This window comes from Homo sapiens, chromosome 21, assembly GCF_000001405.40.
Source record: "Homo sapiens chromosome 21, GRCh38.p14 Primary Assembly".
In the NCBI taxonomy this organism is placed as follows: Eukaryota; Metazoa; Chordata; class Mammalia; order Primates; family Hominidae; genus Homo; species Homo sapiens.
This window is the reverse complement of record NC_000021.9, coordinates 6893706-6917114: the sequence shown is the minus strand read 5'-3', so window position 1 is coordinate 6917114 and position 23409 is coordinate 6893706. Positions and strand designations below refer to the sequence as shown.

Genomic DNA, 23409 nt, shown 5'->3' with positions numbered 1-23409 from the left:
GTTTACAATCAGAGCTGGTGACTAATGAGGGTGCCTCTCCTGACTCCTATCCCTCTTGCTAACCTTCCTCAGAGGAGTAAAGTTCATTGAGGCTGAGTATCTTCCAGACTCCTATTTTCTTCCACATAAAACTATACATTGTGAAAAAATTGGATCAGGGATTTTACTCTCTCAGGCATTAACTAGTAATTCATTCACTTTAAGAAAAGTGCAAGGAGAGGGGACAGAATGAAAATTGTAAGCTACCCTTTGGATGGGCTTATGAAAGGCCCATTTACTCACAGACTATAAGAAATGGAATGTGCATATTAACAAAAAGCAAACTGGAATCAGCCATTAAGTTGTGAATGTAGGAGAGGGGATTCTCCATCTTATTTTGTTTTTCCTTTTAACTTAAGAGCCAATTTTGCTAAGGAAGCCAAAATCCCTGTCTGTCTGGCCCATCATAATCGGATGTATGTAGAAGGTAGACAGACAAGGCACATGACAATGGCACAGATGCCCTTGGGTTTATGTCTGTCAAAGGGGGAGAAATTGTTCTTTTAAGATCCAGATTTTGAAGGCAAATAAACAAAAATTTCAGTCCCAAACCCACCTCCTCCTCATTGTGTGGTCTCTAGTAAGTTTCTGAAAATGTTTAAGCTTGGCTTTGTCAGCTAGAAAGTGGCAATAATCATTTAACCCATAAGTACCAGGTCCTGGCTGGATCAGTTGGCATGCTAAAAAAAGGATAACTGAAGAGGGTTTAATCAAGAGTTCATTCAGGGTATGGACAAAGCTAAGGAACCCACTAGAAGCAATGACGCACCCAGGGACTAGAGGTGGTGAAGGCCATTCCTACCATCAGTCCTGTAGGGATGGGGGAGGTAGGAGCTCTTATCAGAGCACTGGGGAACCTGCACATGGGAGATACTACCCAGCAAGAGCTGCTTCAGTGAGGGATGCTGCCACCGCCACTGCCACATCACTGCCTGGCCAGGTGGGGGTGGAATAAACCCCACTAAGTCTCTTTCCTCTTGCTTTCCAATCCCATGGCAATGTGCTCCATTGGCTGCACTTGACATAAAGTCAGAGGACAAAGGAAGAGAGTGGCCAAGGAGGTGAGCTTCCTTTGCACAAAATCAGGTTAGAAAAGGATGAAGAGTGGATATGGAGGAGCAAATAGATAATTTTCAGCATCTGTCTGTATTAGATGACTGTTGTTTGCCCAGTATCCCTTCTTTTGAGTAAATGCTATGCCTCGCTCCGTAAAACTTGAATGAGGCTGAAATAACATTTACCCTTCTCCAATGACCAGGACCAGAGAACTTCATCACCCTACCCTCTAGCAAATCAATCAAATTCAAATTTGAGATTTAATACAGGGTTTCTGGAAAATAGATAATCTCTTTTTCATTTGGATTATGAGCCATAAGGATGTAGACTTGGGCCAAGCAACAGTCATCTTTCCAATTGTGCAGAAAGAACTAGCCTGACAGCAAAGACAATGCAAAAAGAGCACAGAAGAGTCCAGGAATAGGGAGAAAGAGGCAGGTCCATGGTGACTTTGTTTGAGGCCCTTTGTTTAATTATATCTAAAGGCAGTTATGCTTTTTAACGTTTCAGTAATATGCTTTTTAATATCCTATATTGGAAGAGTGGAAAAAGTTAATAAGGAAATGTGAAGCACCCAGAGGTTAGCAACAACAGAAAGTCTCTATGATATCAGAAATGGAGCACAAAGGGAGGCAATGGCACTACGGGATTCTCTGAGTTGGGGCCTCAGTAGGACCTGGAATCATGGAGAAGGAACTGCTTAGGAAATGCCAAGGCTGCCAGGCTGGAAGCATGGCAAAGACTGCACAACAGGAACCGAAACCAGAGAAGAGATGCTACCTCAAGTACAGAGAGTGAGAAGAAATAGTCTGGCTTCTCCTTCCCTTCCACCCTTTGGATGCCTGCTCCTCTGCCTTCACTTAGCTAAACCTAAGTCTGAGACTAACATTCAGAGCTGAGCAGAAAAAGGGGCAGGGTATGGCTTTCAGAGCAAATGAGTAATACACGTGGTCAGGACATATTCGTTCAGTTTTCCTCTTTCCTTCCAAAATGCATTCCAAACTTTAGTGAAGGATACACAATTTTTTCTAAAATCTCAGAGAATGGGGGTCAGGTTATTTTCTGCTTAGAAACTTGAGTGGGTTACTACATAAGACAAGGCAATTTGGTCTGATATTCAAGTTCATTTAGACTATTGCCATAATTTATGGGCATGAAATAACATGATAGAAAAATGTAAAGGTAAATTGAAATCCAGTCACATTAGGCTACTTGCTCTTTTTGATTAGAGTATATTTTCCTGCACTTGCTAATAATATTCCTTCTGCCAGGCTTACCATCTTCTTCCCCATTTTTCTTTACTGAGATTTTATCTTCACATCACAAATTAAGTGCTATTCCTTCAAGAAACATACTGGCTTGCCCAAACTTTGTTGTATCTCTCCCTTCTTAAACTCTTATATCATTCTCATGGCACTCAACACTTTGGATCTTGTGTTTTAGATATTGAAATTTCTATCATATGCTTTGATAATAGATTGTGATTTCTGCAAAGGCAAAGAGTGATTTCCTCAACTTTGTATCCTTTGGGGTGGGTTTAAATGATCTCTTATACCTACTAGGTGTTTGTTGTAGCAGATGAACACCTGAAACAGTAATTCAGAACCTTAGGTTCTAGTATTTTCTATGTCACATTAGTGTGACTTGCAGAATGGCTCAGCTTAACTTTTCCTATGTATAATGAATTCAGACTAGATGAATTCCAAGGTCCCTCCTGGCCCTTTCAATTCCCTAATTTCAAGTAGAATTTAGAAGAAAAAATTTGTAAGCAGCAATTTTATAGTTCAATTATGGAATTTCTACTTGGGGAAAGCTAACATTTCATGATCTCATTCTTGCTGGATTCTTTCTCAAGATTTTCCATGGAGCTGAAATTTACCCATGACCTTGAGAAAGAAATGCACATGCTTCATGATCCTCACTCCACTTTCTTGTCCTTAATGCTTTTCCTCTGATGATTGCTCATTTCACACCCCAAAAGGAACTCATTTTATAAACGTTTTACAGCGCAGCAAGCAGTAAAGAATAAGAAATTACAAAATATTATATCCTATGAAGAAACACTCTCCTAATGCATCCACAAAGAATCAAGCTCATAATTGCTGGTTTGTCAATTATAATGGTAAAATATGTATTTATATAATACATATGATATGATGGATGCTATTGGAGTGAGTTTGGCATATTTATTTATTTATTTTTTATGGTACTCATCCATGTTTCTGTTTATATATAGGATAACAAATTCAGAAACAATGGGAAAGTAATATATGAAACCTTAATAGAAAATACAATAGAGATCACAAAACACTACCATTTGATTTTTTATGCAAATACTTCAATATTCCAATATTTTTACTCACTTGCTAAATAAAGCACATGACTCGAAATGCTAAATAATTCTGTTAGTCTAAATCTTTTAGATAAAATGTTGGTGAAAAACCAAAATTATTTAGTAAGGTATGTATGACCTTGTTTATTATCTATCATAGACATCAAGATGATCATAGTTAATACCAATTTAAGCTTTATAGAATACTCTTTTAGGCCCAATATTGATATATTAAATGAAGGTTTCAGAGAATCTTGTATTTATGGCATCAGGTTATAAAGATCTATTCAAAACCATTTTTGTCAAAGTTTAAACACTGGAACAAAAGTCAAATTGTTTCTAAATGAGACACAAATGATTCTTGCTAATAGTACAAATTTTGTCCCATGGGTAATACTATTGTCTTTTTCTTTTTTAAAACAATTATTTCAATTTTTTTTTTAGATTCAGGGAACACATGGGCAGGTTTGTTAGCTGGGTGTACTGTGATGTTGAGGTTTAGGGTATGGATGATCCTGTCACCCAGGTAGTGAGCAGAGTCCCCAGTAGGTAGTTTTTCAGCTCTTGTTCCCGCTCCCCACCCTACCTCCCCAGTGTCTGTTATTCCCATGGGTCCTCAGGTATTACTATTTTCAAGTTTTTTTCTTTACATGAAACTACTGAAAGCAAAAGTATGTCATGCTTGTAGGTTACTCTGTACATTTATCATTCTATTAATAAACATCTTAAGTAATTAAGTAGTGTATTAAGGCCATAAACCAAGTCATTATCTCCTATCAAAGGACTACTGTTATTCAGTCGTCTAGAAAATTCATTTTAGGCAGGACACAGTGGCTCACTTCTGTAATCTCAGCACTTTGGGAGGCCGAGGTGGGTGGATCATGAAGTCAGGAGTTCGAGACCATCCTGACCAGCATGGTGAAACCCCGCCTCTACTAAAAATACAAAAATTAGCTGGACATGGTGGTGTGTGCCTATAATCCCAGCTACTCAGGAGGCTGAGGCAGGAGAATTGCTTGAACCCGGGAGGCAGAGGTTGCAGTGAGCTGAAATTGTGCCATTGCATTCCAGCTTGGGTGACAGAGAGAAACTCTGTCTTAAAAAAAAAATTCATTTTAATGGGTTATGTTACAGTGTTGAGGTCAGCCTACAGACACAAAATAGGTTAACTGAATTTTTTTTTCGTAACAGGTTTTAATTTTTTCATTGGAACAGGTTTTGGGGGTGGGGATACTAAATGTGGCAGGGTTCAACAAATTTACATTTTATCAAAATAAAGTTCTTAAAGAATACAATGATAGCATATGCTCTAACTCTTATAGCACAAACCCTCATATTAATTGATGGTCACAGAAAAATACTGTAATGCTTAAACAAAAGTTTTAAAATACATCAATGACACAAGTTTCAAACAAAATGCAGTGATCAAAATACTTAACTGTCCTTTCATCAAGCTTTTACAAACACAATCAGTCTTCGCTGTCTGAGCAAATCAGTTTTAGTTTCTTCATGGTCCTCCATCTGTCTTTTAACATGACACTTGTCCGGTTGTTGAATTTATAATTCCCTCTCCATATTTCCTCATGCCAGATCTCAAATTCTTGTCTTCTTCCTGAAGCCATGCCTGTCTTTTTCTAGCTCGATGTTTTTCAGGAGTTACCGGTTGACTCTTTGAAACAGGTATTCTGCTTTCAGTGGCTCTTCTGCTTTCTTTTTTCTTTTTTGTACTTTGAAGAGTTCCTACTCTTCTTTCTTTCTTATTAAGGTCTTGTTGCTGGGTCCCATGTTGTAACTTAGATAAGAAAAGATTCTTGTGAGACCTTTTTCTTGTATCCAAATTAGCTTCAGTTTCCGTTTCAACATAATTTTCATTAGCTTTATCTTGAGAAGTTATTGTTCTTGTTCTTTTACTTTCTACTACTTTTGCTGCTGCCTTCATTAGAAAGGTTGATGATTTTTCACTTAGCACATAATTCACATAACTCTTAATTTTCTCCATCATGTGATTGTAGCTGAAGTGTTGAAAAAAGGAATGAAATGTATCTTTCTGAGAGATTATCATAAGCAATTTGCTTTTGAGAGGCATATAAGAATTTGGATCACCAAATATTCTTTCAAAGACTTCTGCTTCTTTAAAGTTGCCATTTTCCATACAAACGGCTATAGCCTGAATTTTAATTAAATTCTGTATTTCTTCTTGAAGTTTGTCATGTTCCTTTTCAGTTGAACCCCAAATCATCAGGGCTGATTCCAAGGGTGTAATTCATTCATCATTTTCAAACTGTGCATCAAGGGTTTTTCCTGCTGCAATTCTTGTCAAAAACTGACATATGTATATCGTTCTCAACTGGTAAGCTGTTAGACTGGATAGTCCATGAATAATAGCCTCTGCCCTGTTGCGGATCCTGCAGAAGTCCTCCGAGCGGCCGTCGCGGAAAGCTCGGCAAAGAGAGAAGCGGAGGAAATCGAGCATCCAGCCTGCAGCCACGGCCTCGGCCTTGGCCACCAGGCCCGCGTCCTCCTCCTCCTCCTCGGGGGCCCCCACCTGCACCTGGCACTTGAGCCGTTCCTGGCATTCGAACTGCTCCTCGTCGTTTCTCTCTGTTTCTGCCATCTGCTCCTCGGTAGGGTCGGCATCTCTACCATCCGCCGGCATATTTATTACAATTTATTTTTATGAAAAAAGATTTAAAAAAGAAATGTCTGCCCTAAGCAGTTTCATGAAAATGGATAAATACAAAAGCAAGCACAAGAGTATTCAGTAGAGAATTTTGAGCCTGAACAATCAAGTTTCAGGCAAATCTTGTGTGGTTCATAATTTTAGCCCTTTATTATGCAAACCTGCCAATTCAATTTTCCAATGCAAGAAATGTTGGGGGTGATTATCAAGTTATATTTACTGTTCTGTGGATCTACTAAAATATGCACTATCTTGAAAGAGTCTGTTCAAATTACCTTGGAACACACTTTTAGATCCTCTTTTGTAAGCAAAAGTTGACAGACTAAAATGTATTCTTTTTTAACTGGCATCAGCATGTGAGACTTTAGAAAAATTGGTAGAGCAAATAATGATTCTGTTGCAGAGCCAGACAAATAACTTCCAAATCAACAAATTCAAACAGAGAAAAAAAGTTGTTGATCTTAGATGAATTGCCACATGTTGCCACTTCCTTTCACATGTGTCTTGGTAGAAAAACTCTCATATAGAATTTTTCCCACCCATCAGAAGAAAGTAGTTATTATCTCAATTTCCTATCTCCTCTTCTGCATCTCACGTTCTGAGGAGATAAATATTAGAATCTCAAAGTATCCACTGCTAAAACCCAGAGATAAGGGGTTGAGATGCAAGTTGGAAAAACTGGGAAAGTATTAAATTCTGGACCTCTCTTCCCCCTCTGGCTTCTCTCTCATCTCTCTCACTCTGTCTGTCTGTCTCTCTCTTTCTATCTTCCTTCCTCTTTCTAAAAGACCTTGAAAGAGTTTTATGTATATGCAGAATCAAATTTCTCTCCTCTCTTCTTCTCTCTTCAGTGCACTCTGTTCAGGCTTCTGTTGTCATCTCTCCACCAAAACTGTTTTAGTCAACATCGTCGATGACCTCAATGCTACTAACACCAAAGTTCTAGTTTCAAGCTTTGTCTAACTCAACTCTAGCAGCATGAAACACAACTTATTACTCTCTACTCCTTGAAGCATTGTCTTGTCTTCCAGGAATGTACACTGCCAGTGTTCCTTCTCTTATTGCCTGCTCTTTTTCAAGGTTCCTTGCTGGCTCCTCTTTTTCTTTCTGACAAATAGAAGTATTTCATGGCTCAGGCCTTGAAACTCTTCCCTTATCCATCTAACTATCCATTCACACTCACTTTCTTCATGAGTTCATCTAGTCTTGTGATAACTTCTAAATACATAACTTTAGTCTCAGCCTCTTTCCTGAGATATAGACTCAGAGATCCAGCTGACTACCTGATGTCTCCACTTGAATGTTCAATGGCCATCTCAAAGTCAACATGTCCAGAACCAAGCTTCTATATTCAATCCAGCCTCCCCAAATTTGCTTCTGCTCAGCCTGCCCCAACTCAGTGGATGGTGATATCATTGATCCAGTCAGGACTAGGACAAGAGTGAAGTAAGCCAACCACTTAGGCACAAACTTTAAGGCATTCAGAGCATCAAGGAAGTGCTGACCTTGCTTTTGCATGGCTATGCAAGGGCCTCCTTAAATTGTATGCCCTCAGCATCTCACTTGGCTCACCCTAGTACCAGCCCTGCTTCTTCTTGCTCAAGCCAAAAACTTCAGCATCATCCTTTATGCCTCTGTTTCTCTCACTGTCTCTTCCAATCTACCAGGATATCCTATTGGCTCTACCTTCATTAATATTAAAGTGTTTGATCCAGTTATTAAAGAAATAATTAGATATATCAAAAGAAATGGAGGAGTTATTATAAAAATATAATTCTTGTCCTAAAGAAGAAAAACCAAAAGTCTGCTCTTATTTTCACAAAGGCAGGGAACTAATAGAAGATAGACATACTGTTTCAAGGTGTTTAAAAAAATTAATAGACTTTGATTTTTAGACCAGTTTTAGGTTTTCAGAAAATGTGAGCAAAATATATGGGGTTCCTGTATACTCTCTTCCCCCACCAGCCTCTGGTTTTTCCTATTGTTAACATTTTGTGTTGGTGTGGCACATTTGTTACAACTGATGAACCAATATTCATGCATTATGATTAACTAACATCCACAGTTTATATTAGGATTTAGTCCCTGTGTTGTACGGTTCTATGGGCTTTGCTAAATGCATTATGTCATATATTTCCCATAACAGTATCTTAAAGAATAATTTCACTGCCCTAACAATCTTCAGGGGCTTATTTCCTCTCAGCTAGCAGTGACATCTTTAGGTACAAGTACACACCACCTATAACAACTTAATTTATTGCATTCTAGGCAAGCCAGGGCAGGGACTGAGGACAGTGACAATGTCACCTATCTTCCATTCAGGAGCCTGTGTTTGGTGCAGAGCCCAGGGTTCCTAGGTCCAGCCTATATGCTCCAATGGTGGTTTCCTACACTCAAAGACAATGAACTTGCAGATGCATCACAAACACCTGGTGCTCTGCAAAGCTGTCCTGATTCCTCCTAGCAACATGAGATGCCACATTTTCTTTACTCTAAGGTGTCAGGCACATGATCATGGTATTCATCAGGCTATCTGATCCTCTGATTATATGTCAGTCTCCCAGACTAGATCAGGGGCTTTTCAAGGGCAGAAGCTCCATCTTAGTCATCTGTGTCTTCCTCAGGGCCTGTACTTGCCATTTGTTGATGATATGAAAAGAGTTGGGGTTGTGAGGGGGAGGAAGAAGGATAGTGGAATGAATAAAGGGAAAAGAGGGAAAGAAAAAAGACAGGGAGATAGGGAAGGTGTTGGTGCCCATGCCCTCGGTCACAGGTCACTATGGGTGGGCACAGGTGTTCAGCACCAGAATGACAGGAAGATGAGCAAGAGAGGGCATCTCTGAGTCAGGGCTGGTGCATTTCTCACACCCAACAATCCAGCCACATCACTGACGAATCTGGGATGTTGTACTTTTCCCCACCAGCAGCCCTAGTTGCACGTGACAGGCTATCGCCTGCTATTGCACTGACTTCATATATTCCTAGTACCTCAGGGTTAATGAGTTCTCAGTTACGTGGAACAGCTTTGTTTGATAGGTTACTCTAGTTTTATATGTAAGAAAGCTTAGTGTTCTTATATTATTTAATATATTGATTTGCTACATTGTATAAAAAGACAAATAAATGAGACTTCTTTAAACTGTCTTAGAAGAAGTCTCAAGTCTCCTGTGGCTCTCAAACCTCAGTGTGGACAGGCAGTTCACGACATTTGTTGTCCATAGTGTACTTGTTTGGACAGTTTCTCAATTTCCAAACAGCAGTGATGTTTTTTTGCAACAAATAAGTTACAAAACAAAATATTTCACGTTTTGTCCTCCCTCTGATAGAAATCTTTGTGGTCCTAAACAATTAAAGCTCCTTAGTTTAAATTGGAAGTATTATTAAGGAAAGTTGAAATTTTATGAAAGTGATTAAATTGAAGATTCAAAAATGTGTCTACATTTGGGAATATTGATTATGACTTTAATGTTAACTTTTTTGATCTGATACCATTTCCAAAAATTTAACCTACAGAAATACTAAAACATATGTGCAGTTATAGGTTAAAAGAATATGATGAAATTATTTGCAGTAGGACAAAATTTAAAACAATTCAAATGGTTTTAAAAGAGGATTAAATAACTATATTCAATGATGAGTAAGTAGTAGGTTAAAAAATGAATTATTTTGAATAATAAGAAAAATAAAGATTCTAAGATACGTATTCAGTGAAGAAAGTTTCAGGATCACATGTTTGCTATTATTTCATTTTTGCAAAACAAACAAACAAGAATAAAACCAAAAGCTACACACGCACGTGTGCGCGCACACACACACACACAGTGCAAGACACTTGTGAATTGAAGGGGGTAATGTTAATATTCACACAGGAACCATCAGCATGATATAGGAGTGTCAAGAAAACCAGGATCTATAATCACCTTAATTTAATGGACTTTATATTCTGTATTATACCTTACTATCTATAAGAATAAAATTAAATTTTCCATACTTAAAGTATCTATAAAAAATTGAGTAAATTGTAATCTTGGATCTCAAGTCCAGTTCCTCTAGTTCTCTCAGAACTATCTCCCTTCATTTCAAAGTTCATGGATTGATTTTTGGTTTTCCTAAAATGTACCACTGTATTTTAAATTTACACATCACCAGGGCATTCTTTTTTCTTGTTCTCTTATTATTAGAACATACATTTAACCCCTTCTGACAATCTAGTCATTGTAAACCTCCCAGCTTTATCAACTGTCATCTTCCAAGTACTCACAGTGCAGATTTCTGGTATTATAATGGCCTTAAATTTTTTCCTTTGGATTTTTTTGAAAATAAATTACGGTGTCTATTTACATGGATAAAGAGTGACCACTGTCTTTGGCTGGTTCCTGTTGATAATGAGGTCAAGGCAGGGGCCTTCACTGAATTCCCACATGTGCTTGGTTGCAAGTCACACTCAGGTGACAGACAGTCTTGCAGTTGGTGCTGCTGGTCACATGAAGACTGGGAAAGAAAATGTATCAGATCAAAATAAACTTATTTCTCTTGCAAAAAATAACAACTCGAGGCACATGCATTATGAATATTGGGTCAGAAGCATTATCTTCATATTCAAAGACTAGCATATAATTATCAAGAACAGAAATGTAAAGAACATAAACAGCTTGATGATAGAATTGGTACACGTTTATTATTAGAAATTCTATTTGAAATCCAGAGAAGAGTAACTGAACAGAGAAAAACACAGATATTAGATGACAAAGAATATGAGAAAATTTCAACTTTTTTTTCCAATTGAATTTAACAATGGAAATCAATCAACTCCATAGTTGACTGATTGATTTGCCTCTGCCGGGATGTAAATTCACAGAGATATTCTTTCTGCCATTGTGCCAATCTGTGACACAGCTAGCCTAGGATTTATATGCTGTGCTTGTCAATATCCTTCAGAAATGCCCAGCAGAACACAGGCACATGTATTCTCCTTCAGCAAACACTCATGGAATGTGAAATCAGACTTCTACTGGTACTGACTCATCTGGAGGGCTTGTTATGAGGCCTCATTCAGTATGAGGCAAAGGTTGTGAAGTTTGCATTTAAGTTTTTAAAAAGCTATGTATAAAAAGTGGCCACCATGATGATTAAACACATTATATTGTACCCTTATAAAATTTGAACAAAAACCACAAACTTCAATGACAATAAGTAATTGGTCTTACTTCGTCTGCTCATTCTGAAAAAACTGAGTCTTGTCCTATGCAACAGGGCTGGAACAGTTGCAACATGCATCAGTTGGAACATGTTTAGAAGTTAATGGATAGCATTGGTTTACATTTCATATAAGACAGAGTAAATTAAGGACACATTTCTAGTATCTTCAGATATTCAAACAAGTAAATATTTCATATATCTCAGTTTGCTCCATTGTCAAACACATTTTCATTTTGATAAAAATGTCTCAAAAATGCCTTAATAATGTGTGCTTTGGTGAGGGAAATTTGGAAATAATGAACGTGAGCTAATCCTCTGTTTGTGACTGAAGGGTCCTCACATGAAATCGTCACCTTTGGAGCCGTGCTTTTATAATGTGATGCTCACTGGATTTTTGAGATATAATGCCTGTCCCTAAACTGAATTTCCCCAAACTGCTTTATAGTTGTTGATTTCACTACCAGTGTCCTCTCCTTCACTCTTATTTTGCATTTCAGTGTACCAAATTTACAACGTTTTTGTTGGTTTTGTTACCAACAGAAACATCAGGTGAATTAAAAGATACCGAGATAAGTACTCATCAAACTAAAAAGGAAATGCAATTAGATGTTATTTTTGCCAGAGGGTGGGTGGGCAAATTTACCATAATGCATTGCATTAGTTGTCAGTATGGAGCATGCTTCAGAGTCATCTGGAAGGCTTGTTAAAATGCAGGTTGTTGGGTTCCACCCCAGAGCTTCTGATTCAGCAGATCTTGGGTGAGGCCTGAGAATGTGCATTCCTAGCAGTTTTCCAGTGGATGCTGCCCATCTGAGGACTACACATTGAGAGCTACTTGCTGTAGAGAAAACTGGAATGGGGACAGTTTAAAGAATCAGTAAGAGTTTAAGGTTTCAGTAAATGTTTGGAAGTCTGCAAGTAGAAAAAGGGGAATGTTAATTTTCTCTTCACATATTGGGCATTACATGTATGGAACTCTAACACAAAGAGGGAGAGCTGTGGGAAAAAATCAAGGGATTTGTCTGAAATGATAGAGTTCCATGTTAGTTCACAAAATGATTTTGGGAAGATATTTTAAATAATTCCAACACTACAAACTGATACCACATCAGGCAACCTCGCTCTCCAAAATCCACTCATGTTGCTTTTGCACTAGGCTGGCCTGGATGGAGCATTGGTTGGACCCCATGTGGCGTTCCTAATGTCTCTATATTCTAACGCATTGGTTGCCAATAAAGTGCTTTGCCAACAGATTTTGTTCTGAGATAGTGCACAGCGCTGAAGAGAAAATAACTTTGCAAATCCAGTGATTTCATGGGCCACTAGGCTTTCTGGATTCTCTATTACCAAGTTTATCTTTTGTTCATTTAATGCATTGCAAACAACATTGAATTAGTTTGTTGGACAATTAGGTAAGATATTAAACTAATGATATACATATAAATATGTCAAGTCATTATTTTAAGAGTACATCTGTAAGTCATAGTTGGAGAAGGCTTTTTCTTGTGAACCCTGTAAAGGCTTTTCCCCACAACTCTAATAGTTCAACAGGTACCAACTTTTATAAATAATACTTCTTTTTCAGAGGTGTTCACAAGTGAGAAAAAGAATTTTCTATAATGGATGTTTAAAAAAATCAGTTCCAAGGAAATTAATTCTTGTAAACCTCCCAAAATAAACATCAGGAAATTAAATTGGTGTTGGTTTGTTAGTAGAATGAACATCCCCAAAGAAATCCAAGATTGCAAATGTTTTAGCTCAGACCTAGTTTCTAGTCTCTGAAAGACCCTTCCTTCCTGAGCTATGACCACCTACAGCCCTCCTGCAGCTTCACCATTGCCTCGACTTTCAGCACGAATCCTGCAATGATGCTAAGGAGATTTACATGACTACGTGTCTGCCAGCTGTGGTTTCATCATTTTTCTTTGTCTCTGAGCTTATGCAGAGACAATACCCTGGCTCTGGTAAGTGGATCTCAGTCTGTTCCTTAGTCTCCTCTCCCGGCACCCAAGTCTGATTTTTGAGCTTCAGCTTGATCCTTTTTTTTACCTGTCATCGTCCTCAGGAAGGGATTCCCCAGTCCTGGATCCTGGACCATTGTCTTGGACCCTCTGAAATGACAAATATTCCTAATTCCAATTTGCTATCTTTCTTGTAAGGATAAATTGTCTTGTACTGCATCCATCTGTTTGGACAGGTCAAAACTTCATTTGCAACCCTTCGTGGATATCTACTTACCTGCACTACAACCTGCTATCACTCGATCTTGTTGGACACACTACTGTAGTCTTGCTTTACATCTGTGATGGAATCCAGCCATCCAGATCCTATTCAGTAATAGAGCATTTTCTCAAATCCCAGCCCTTTCTCATCTGAGCTACATGACAATAAGTAATTGCTCTTACTTGGTCTGCTCATTCTGAAAAAACTGAGTCCTTACTGAGTGGAGTTTCATAAGGACTGAGTTCTTATGGAACCATATTATGCATGGGAGTGATGGACATGAACAAGGTACAATTTCTCTCTTGAAGAAACTCATTCTTTTTTTTTTTTTTTGAGACAGAGTTTCACTCTCTCACCCAGGCTGGAGTGTAGTGACATAATCTTGGCTCACGGCAACCTCTGTCTCCTGGGCTCAAGCGATTCTCCTGCCTCAGCCTCCTGAGTAGCTGGGATTACAAAATTAGCCTGCCACCATGCCAGACTAAGTGTTTTTTTTAACTTTTAGTAGAGACAGGGTTTTGCCATATTGGCCAGGCGGGTCTCCAACTCCTCGAGTGATCCGCCCACCTCAGCCTCCCAAAGTGCTGGGAGTACAGGCATGAGCCACTGCACCTGGCTCATTTTTGAAGACAGAGCAAACAAACAAACAATTGAAATGCAGTTTGAGTATTCCTTATCCAAAATTCTCGGGACAAGATGCGTTTTGGATTTTTAAAAAATTTTTCAACATTTGCATTAAACTTACTGGTTGACACCCCAAATTCAAAAATCAGAAATCTACAAAGCTTTAATGAGCATTTCCTTTTGAGTATGACCTTTGAACATTGTGTCAGCATTCAAAAAATGTGAATTTCAGATTTTTGGATTAGGAATGCTCAACCTATACAATACTTTAACCATACATTCTGAGAACCTTTCTCAAAAGTGTATAGTAGAAGAGGTCAGACAACCGTCCTTCCATAAACATTCATTCTATCATTTGCTCAAACCCCACTGTGTTTCAGGCATTTTGTTAATATATCGGGAATGGACCCAGAGGGCCTTTCTGAGACTTGTGAGTTAGACCCAGGTACTCACCCAGGCCCAGATCATCCATGAACTTTTGCCTTCAAATACCAATGATAATTTGTCTTGTGGTCCTAAGATGTTAATCAGAGCTGCTTATAATAGACAGCCTCTGAAACTGTCTTCTCTCCCCAGTAGCCCCAGGTGGTCTACCCTGGATCCTGATGACATTAGGTTGGGGGGTTGTAAGTGCAGTCACTTTGTTGCCAGGTCCACTTTCTTTCCAGAACCTCTGAATCAAATGTCAGCCTGTTTTCATTGTTCCCTACCTGATTAGCTGGAGCTGGATATACCAAAGGAATGAAAGTTTTCTGAGCTGACTGCACTGATAAACCTAGAAGGAGACCATAGTGATAAATGCTTCATAATTTTCAGAAGTCAGCATTAACTGCTGAGTAGCAGAGTGGACTTAAATTTGTGTTTTCAGTGGAAATGATCACCGTGATGTCCTTACTGCCTCCTAACTCATGAAAGGAACAACTGGCTGGCCCCTGGAACTCCTTGCATGACTGGTGATTGCCCATGGACTTCTAAAACACTCTTTACTCTGAGATGTGAATGTTGCCCACGGCCTTCAGCTGGTGGATGATATCTGGGCCTGAGATGACAGTATCAGGTATTTCTGAAGACATCCTGGGGAAATGTGGGAATTGCCATGGTGCCTCTGAGCTTACCTCTAGAACAGACACTTTGATAAGTGCTTTTGCTTCTTTCTCTGAATTCTAAATCAGCCCTAGAATGCTGGATGATAATTCTGAAACAAGCCCTACCCAGTCGATCTTCCTGAAGTTTCATGAGGATTCTGAAGAGTGGTGACAGGTGTTGGACTAAAATAAGGGAGGAAGGCCGAGGTGAGGAGAGCACTCAGAGACAGTGGGTGGACAGACGTCATCCAGAGACTTGCAGAAAATAGGACCAAAGCCATGGCCCCCGACAGGAGTGGCAATCCTAAGTGCAGTTTTAGTTGCACTTTTGAGATAATGAAAGTACAAAATCAGTCACTTAATCTCTTTTAACATCAGTTTATTAATCTGCAAAACATTAACATGCTACCTCACAGCATTCTTCCCATATAATAAGAAACAGCGTGTTAAAATACTAAACAAAGTTTAAGAAGTGATGCAAATATACTGTTAGGGTAGATTGTAGATTATAGTTCTATCACTTATCTCTTTCTTATTTTCTGAGAAGCTCTTATGAACATTGATTTAATTATTTCTTTTTCCTCTTTATTTATGAGCATACATGTCTTATTCAAGATTTAAAATATCACTTGGAAATTAACAAGGGGTTTCACAAATATAGTCGTATTCCTTATTTGTTCACAATATTTTGTCCCAAAATGTTGCTTTTAAAGAAATAAAAGAACTACTTCTAAAATTGTGGTAGATTCAAGGCCGACTATAAACAAATGCTCACCAGCCAACAGAAGAAATCTATCCTGCAATATGAGTGACTTTCCCAGTATACCATGATAGTTCCTTAAAGCTGTTATGAATTATTCCATAAACCTGTATTTAGAGACTTTTTTTTTGAATATCTTTTTAATGACTTAAACACCAGCACGGAGACTCGCGATGTAAACAGCCTCATTTCTCTGCTCTGTGCTTTGGGAGGGACAGGGACGCCATTTCCCTCCTTGGCTGAGATAAAACCTGTCTTGTAAATTAATAAATAATTTCATAACATGGCAAAAAAAAGAAAAAAAAATCCAAACGAGACCTAGTTTCCATCCAGGGACGGGATGTTTCTGGACACCCCCGGTTGCTGCTCCTCCTAAGGGCCTGGCTGTGGCTACTGCAGGGAGGATGTAGTGAGAATGGCTTCCCTTCTGCTGTTTGCTGCTGTCTACACCAGCCAAGAACCTGCTCACGTCTGCCCGGGCTGATGGAGTCTCACTCTTGAGAAAAATCTTGCTGGGGCAGGTCCTCTGGCAGCCCCAGCACCTTACCCTGAGTCATGGGAACTTGAGACTTTGTCCAAACCTTGGCTGGAAGGCTAGTCTTGGCACTCAACGTCTTAGCTAGTGGATTTATCACATTAAGACTGTACCTGGGCCTTTTTCATGATGACTTAGGTCCCAATCCTCGGAGCAGCTGAAAAAAGAGCTAGCGCCACCTGTGGATGCACCCACAATGAAATCAGAGGCCACGTGAGGTTTGCAAGGTGGAGTGGCCTGTAGTTTTAACTCGGACACTATGGCAATGCAGACCCAAACCAATTGTGCCAGTTCTTGCTGGGTGGCAAAGTGTTGTCAGGCTTTGTGGTCACTCCTGATTTCTGTTTGGAAGCACAGTTCTCTTTCTAATGAGAATGGAAAATTGGAAAGGCCTGTAAAATTGGAAAGCCTGTAAAAGGCCGTAGAGTGGAGATGTATAAAAATGTACAGTCACACATGTTTTAGGGGTCGAAACCATGGACTTTTATCTCGCTCACCAACTTCCTCACACATACAGCTCACTCCCTGTGGCCTCAGCCATCTCAGGCACTACAGAATCCTCACTGCTTGAAATTCACTTACGGAGTCCAACAAACAACTTTCTTTAAAAAAAAAAAAAAGGCAGTAAAATCTCAGAATTCCTGTGCAATGCTTGCAACCTGCCCACTTATTAAATAAACAGAACACCAAACTAACCAAAAGCTATGCAAGTGGCAGGCTGCCCTGAGCAGAGCCCTGCCTGTCTGCCAGGGACTATGGTGGCACAGGAGCAGGTCGTGATCATGCTGGAAGAAATGAGAGGTGGTTTCATTCCCTGACTTTCAAACTCTCATCTCGGGAGCCCCCAGTCCTAACACTGTATTCAGCAGCTGGAGTTACCTGGCCATGTAAAAGGACAAGGGAAGGCAGACCGTCCTCAACTTCTTCCTGTGTTTCTAGCAAGGAAGGAACGCAATGGCTTCAGTCCCTCCACCTCTAGGTAACAAGGCAAAGGCCTCCGTAACCCAGGCAGACAGGATGTGGGGAAGGTCTTGTGTCTTTTCCTAACTCAGAATTTCTGAGTCAGTGGGCTTCCCGGAGAAAGACTGTCCTCTTGGCATGTGACCCTGAAGGCTTCTAGCACCAAAGGCTCGCTAACACCTCAGACCCTGTCTTCAGGTAAAGGGGATGGGAGGCAGAACCCTTCTCCTGATTGGTGCCTGAAGGAGGCAAGAACGAGCATCTGCTATACCCCAGCCTGATTTCCCCCGTCTCAGCAGGAGAGGGGAGAGGTGAGGGTGCAGATGTTCTGGGCAGGTCAGTGCAGTTCGATGAATGCCTCCAGATCTTCCGGGATGAAGCCCTTGTAAGGGATCTTGTTCTTATCCAGGGCCTGGGCTGCAAGGCACTGCAGCGTCACGTAGTTGAAGGGCTGCATGGTACCCCTGGCCAGCAGCTTCTCTTCCAGCAGCTCGTAGGCCGTCTTCTTGAAGGCGTTGGTGGCGTCCATGTGGGCCCCTGCTTCAGTCAGGGCATTCACGATGGCCGGGCAGTTGTTCTGGGCTGCTATGTGTAGCGGGGTGTTGTTGTCAAAATCCCTGCTGTCCCGGTCGGCCCCGCAGTCGAACAGCACTTTGACCACGTGCAACGAGGGGAATCTGCCCACGGGGTAGCGGCCCACGTTTGTGGTGTCCTTGTCCACAGCCATGTGCAGAGGCGTGAAGCCGTTCTTGCCCCTGGGTGCGCACTTGAGCAGGCGATAGATGGTCTGGTGCTTCAGTTGCTCCTGGCTGGGGGTGCACTCCACTTTCTCCAGCAGGTAGAGCAGGTGGAGGATGATGGCCAGCGCCTTGTTGAACTGGGCCGAGTCTCTAGGCTCCCTGAGCAGCTGCAGGGCCCATTCCACTTCCCGGACCCCTTTGGTGAGGACCCCCATGAGGTCTGCAAAGCCGATCTGGGTGCCCAGGCTGCCTTTGGCAGCCGGGTCCTGCAGCACGTAGGAGAAGAGTTCGGCGAAGGAGAGGAAGCTGCTGGCGCTCATGGGGGTCAGAGGCTCCAGGTTGCTCTGTTGCATGTCCAGGGCGTACTTCCACAAGCGGATGTAGCACTCGATATTCCCCGAGTCGGCGTACACTGCGCCCCTGTAACGGATACAATAGGAAGTGTCGGGGTGCGAGGGACTGAGGATGCGCTCCCGGATCAACAAGGCCTGCATACGCATCTCATCGGCGTCGGTGATCAGCGCCTCCAGCTCCTCGGTGGTGTTGACCTCCCTGGAATAGTCATAGGCCAGGACCAGCTGTGGGGGCTCCAGTTTGGGCAGGTACTCACCCCCCTGGTGACGCAGCTCCATGGCCCGCCTCCAGTGTTTAAGGGCCCCAAGCAGATCTCGTTTCTTATCCACATAGGTAGATCCCAGCAATTCCAAGGCTTCCATGGCAGCTTCCCGGCTGGTGGGACAGCAGCTTTGGTAAGATTCCCCGTTCAGTACCTCAGGGGAGAAGATGCAGCACGGAGCCCCCTGAGGCTGCGCACACCCCTGGCTGGTGGAGGAGCCTTCTTGGGGCAGCCTAAGCTGAGCCTCTACCCCTATGAGCTGCTCCTGGCCGGGCTGCTCCTGGATGAGGTACTCCACGATGTTGGTGTGGCCCGTCACGCTGGCCGGGAGCAACGGGGTCATGCCGTAGCTATCACGTTCCATGCTGGCCTTGCACCCCAGCAGCAGCTGCAGGATCTCCAGGCTGCTGGTCTCGGCACAGTTGTGCAGGGCCGTGTTGCCCTTGGCGCTGCGCCAGTTCACCTGGGCGCCCTGCTCCAGCAGGTAGCGGGCGATCTCACGGTGGCCCTTGTAGCACGAGATCATGAGGCACATGTGGCCGTGCCGGTTGGCCACCTCCAGGTTGGCCTGGTGCTCGCCGACCAGGTAGCGCACCACCTCCAGGAGGCCCTCGAAGCAGGCGGCGCGGAGGGGCGTGGAGTTGGTGCGCGTGGTGCAGTTCACCGAGGCCCCGCGGCGCAGCAGGCTCCGTACCACGTCCAGGTGGTCCGCGCCCACAGCGGCGGCGCACCCTCCATGGTCTCGCCATCGAAGTGCACCGAGCCACCGGCCTCCACGCTCGCGCCGCACGGGTCCACCAGGTACTCCACCACGTCCAGGTGGCCGTAGCAGGCGGCGATGAGCAGCGGCGTCCCCCCGCCGGCCACCTAGCCAGTCAGCTCGTCCAGTTCCTCCCGGCTCCGGCTGCTGAGCAGCTTCTGGAGCAGCTGCCCCCTTGCCGTCACGGGCGGCGTTGTACACGGCGGTGCGGAGGTCTTTGGTTCGGGCCTCCGCCAGGCCATGAGCCGGCCGCAGGGGGAGGGGGAGACAGAGGATCAGAGCCCAGACAGGCGGGAGCCAACCTTCACCGTCTCCCTCGCCGCCATCTTAGGGTGTCCTAGAGACTTTTAAATATGCAGATCATTGACCTGAGAAACCATTTCGTCTCCAAAGGAACATTTGCAGGCTGTCGTGCAAATCTGCACTTGAGCAACTTTCACATTATGATCTTAGTGAATTCTTGACCAGATGGACTTGAACAGCTGCCACCCATGCTTGGGAAGTCGCTTTACTTGAGAAAAGAAAATAGCTCATTTGTTTGCAATTCTTTCCTGAAAGTACATAAGGGCAATTTTCTACATTGTGAACTAGTATCAGAGCAACATTTTCCCTGAAAGACCATAGCTCATTATACTATTTAGGAACAAACAAACAAAAATATATACAAACATTTTTTGGGGAGTTTTATAATTTGTGCCTAGAAGGGACAAGTTTCTTTTCAGATTAAGTTTTAAAAAATGTTCCTTTATTCGAGCTGACATGGAGGTTGTAACTGAGAAAAACCTCCCTCTGAAATTAGAATGCCTTACATTTGTATAACATTCTATACTTTTCAAAGTGCTTTCAGGCACATTATTTCATCTGATCTTCAAAACAGCTCAGTGAGGCAGGTAAAGTGGGTGTTCTTATTCCTTACTGTTTAGATAAGGAAATAGGTTCAGACTACAGATATTATCTGAGTATCTACTAACTTCATTGTATTGTGCTAGGTGTCATAGAGGATAAAATAACATGTATTCCTAAAAGAAGAATCTTGGTTTTAGATAAGACATAACAACACAAAGCTAAATAATACATAAATGTACAATATGGTCAAAAGATGACAAAAGACAATGTATGGTCAAAGTATTAGAAACACAAGCAAACTGTGTTCTCAGATTAAGGGAGACTTCTTAAAGAAGGTGCTACTCGAATATATATGCCTGGAAGGAGGTTTGGAATTTGTGGAATATTTACTCTTTGGCATCAAAATCACTTTCTCATATAACCTTAGAGTATAAGAGATTTTGGCATTCATCTAGTTTGTTCTGATACTCGATGTTGGCACTCCCTATGGCCCCCTAGGCAAAGATGTTGGAATAGCTATGAGTCTTAACAATTCTATCTATATGCAGCTGCAATCTCCATTTCTATAATTCTACCCTTTGTTGACCAGAGTAAAACAAGACTAATCTATTTTCTCTTTCTGTGGAAAGCCTTTACTATGTCTGTAGTCAGCATGACAGCTTGATCTGCCTTTAGTCTTTTCTTCTTTTCATTAATCTTAAAGCTTCTGGAGATACAGTCATTATTTTACTGCTGAGCCCCTATTTTATTTATCCAAATTATCTATAACTTTGGCCATCCCAAATTGATACACTATTGTAGATATGCAGATTTGAATGAGGCTTTAAAAACTATTGTTATCTTTTTAATTCACTGCCAGCATGTCTGTTAATACTGCTAGTTGTGAACATTTCTCAATATAAAGTAACTTTTGTGTAAAAGTTGCATAATTAATATGCCTGGAATGAGTTATGAATGTCTTCCTAAAGAACAAAGGCCACCTTCATTGTGATGGCTTTTTTCTTTTTCTTTCGTATTTTTGTTAAGCCATTCATGATCTGTGCATGCCTGCACAGATGATACTTGCTTAAGGAACTAACACCAAAGCTCTAATATAGTAATAATCTTTGGTATTTTGTTTCTCATCTTTATTACTGGGAAAGTAAAAATTAATCACTCATGTAAATTAATAGTGCAATACTGACCTCTGGTATGTAATGATGAAATTGCTTACTGGATGAACTAGTGGATGCTTGGGAAGAGTTTTATGTTTTAATATAAGAACATCTTTCTCCAAGCAAAGAAGCTTCCTAGGCTATAATTACAAATGTGGAAATTGGGAAACGTAAAACTAACTAACTGAATGTAAAGAATGTATCTATGGTAGTTTATAGTAGTGGGTAAGTAAAAAAGGAAAAGAGAGAACAACTGACACTAGAACTGCCCCATTCAAAAGCTTTTTTTACAATTCGGCCATCTTTTAAGAAACTAAACACAGTGAGTTGAGAATAAATGATGTACCCTCCCTCACTTGACTATATTTGAATTGGACTTAAAAAAAAGAGGCTGTTTTGAATTTCTGTGAGTCATCTCAGGTGGTAGATGTGTTTTCATTGCCTGCCACTCCCCAAAGTGCCTCTCCATTTACTTCAGACACAAGGTCCCAAAGTCATAATTTTCTAGTCTTATTTGCTCATCTTTATGATCTTGTAATTTTCTAAAGCCATACAATATGCCTGCTTTATAATTCAAAGGCCTAATATTTGTTAGGCTGGTTCTTGATTCAGGTTTCTCATTCTCCTTCCTATTTTCAGTATGTGTCCTTCCCTCACACTCTATGCTCAAGCCAAATTATCTATCTAGCATTTCCCCCATTGGCACCTTCTGAGCAGAGGTACTGCAGAGTGCACAGATAGGCCTGGAATGAGTCAGTCACTTTGCAGACAGAGGTGTAAGCCATGCAGGTTTAGGCCTCTACTGCCACCAGCGACCCTATTGCTGGCCTAATCCCTCCTGTAGCTGTGCTCATAGAACCTTAGAAATTCGTTACCTGTTGAGGGAGTATCGCTGGGCCAGTCATCAATGAACCCCGATTCCAATTTAATCCTGGCGCTGCCCCTGACTTGTTATGGGACTTTCTTCAATTCAGTTCAACTCCTAGGCTATGAGATTTCTACTTTCTAGTCTGTAACAAAGGGTGACTAGATTAGATGATTTCTGACATCCTTTGTAGTACTCCAATTCTACAACTCTATACATGTGGATTCAGGAGGCTAGCTCAAACCCTGGGTTCTTCACTTCTTGCAATACTCTCTCAATTCCCTTCTTCTCCCATCCTCTAGTTTGTCCAGATGTTACTGTATTTGTGTACTTCCTATGTATACTAAACCATTATATGGACTACACTCTACTGTATCTATTTGTCTATCTATCTTTTTAACTTCATTCAACTGAGATATGGTCGGCTGTTACTAGCTATCAATGGAGTGAATGAGAAAAGACTGCATATCTTGTCTTTATCCTGCAGGTCTGTCTCTGCCACATATTTCTGAGGAGATCCCGGGCCTGGGAAACTTTGGAGTCAACACTGACCTTTTATCCTGGTTCTATAAACCAGATCACATGCAAGAACGTTGCCTCTTAAAAATTCTCAAAAGTGATGAATAGCTATAGTCCAGGCTAAAGGAAAATGGAGAACACCAGGTTGTTAGTGAGAGCTGAATCACTCTGAGTTATGGAGTAACAAGTTTTATTAGGCTGGTGCAAAAGTAATTTGTGGTTTTCGACATCAATTTTAATGGCAAAAAGTGCAATTACTTTTGCTCCAACCGATAGTTCCCAGAGTCAGGTAGACTAGGAAGTGGCATTCAGAAAGCAGAGACTGGGAAGGTGGAGAAGAGTTAGTGAAATGATTTGAGTTTGGAGACAATGGGGTGAAGGCCCAAGGAAAGTTCCACACTCTTGGGTTGGCCATA

The 23409-nt window shown here is 41.4% G+C and overlaps 1 long non-coding RNA gene and 2 pseudogenes across 1 annotated transcript in view, besides 1 other annotated feature; all 3 read right to left on the bottom strand.

The window, feature by feature from the left end:
- Positions 1-23409: part of a sequence alteration artifact (region identified as an assembly artifact by the Genome Reference Consortium. This region falsely duplicates sequence located at GRCh38 chr21:13654079-13799312) that runs on past both edges of the window.
- On the bottom strand, positions 4602-6083 carry LOC100289185 (telomeric repeat-binding factor 1-like; annotated as a pseudogene).
- Positions 15626-23409, bottom strand: part of LOC110091777 (uncharacterized) — a 43040-nt gene continuing 35256 nt past the window's right edge. The window contains exon 3 of the long non-coding RNA NR_146657.1: positions 15626-20120. This is a non-coding gene — a long non-coding RNA (uncharacterized LOC110091777). The remainder of the gene's footprint in view (positions 20121-23409) is intronic.
- LOC100289085 (fem-1 homolog A pseudogene) lies at positions 16121-19948 on the bottom strand (annotated as a pseudogene).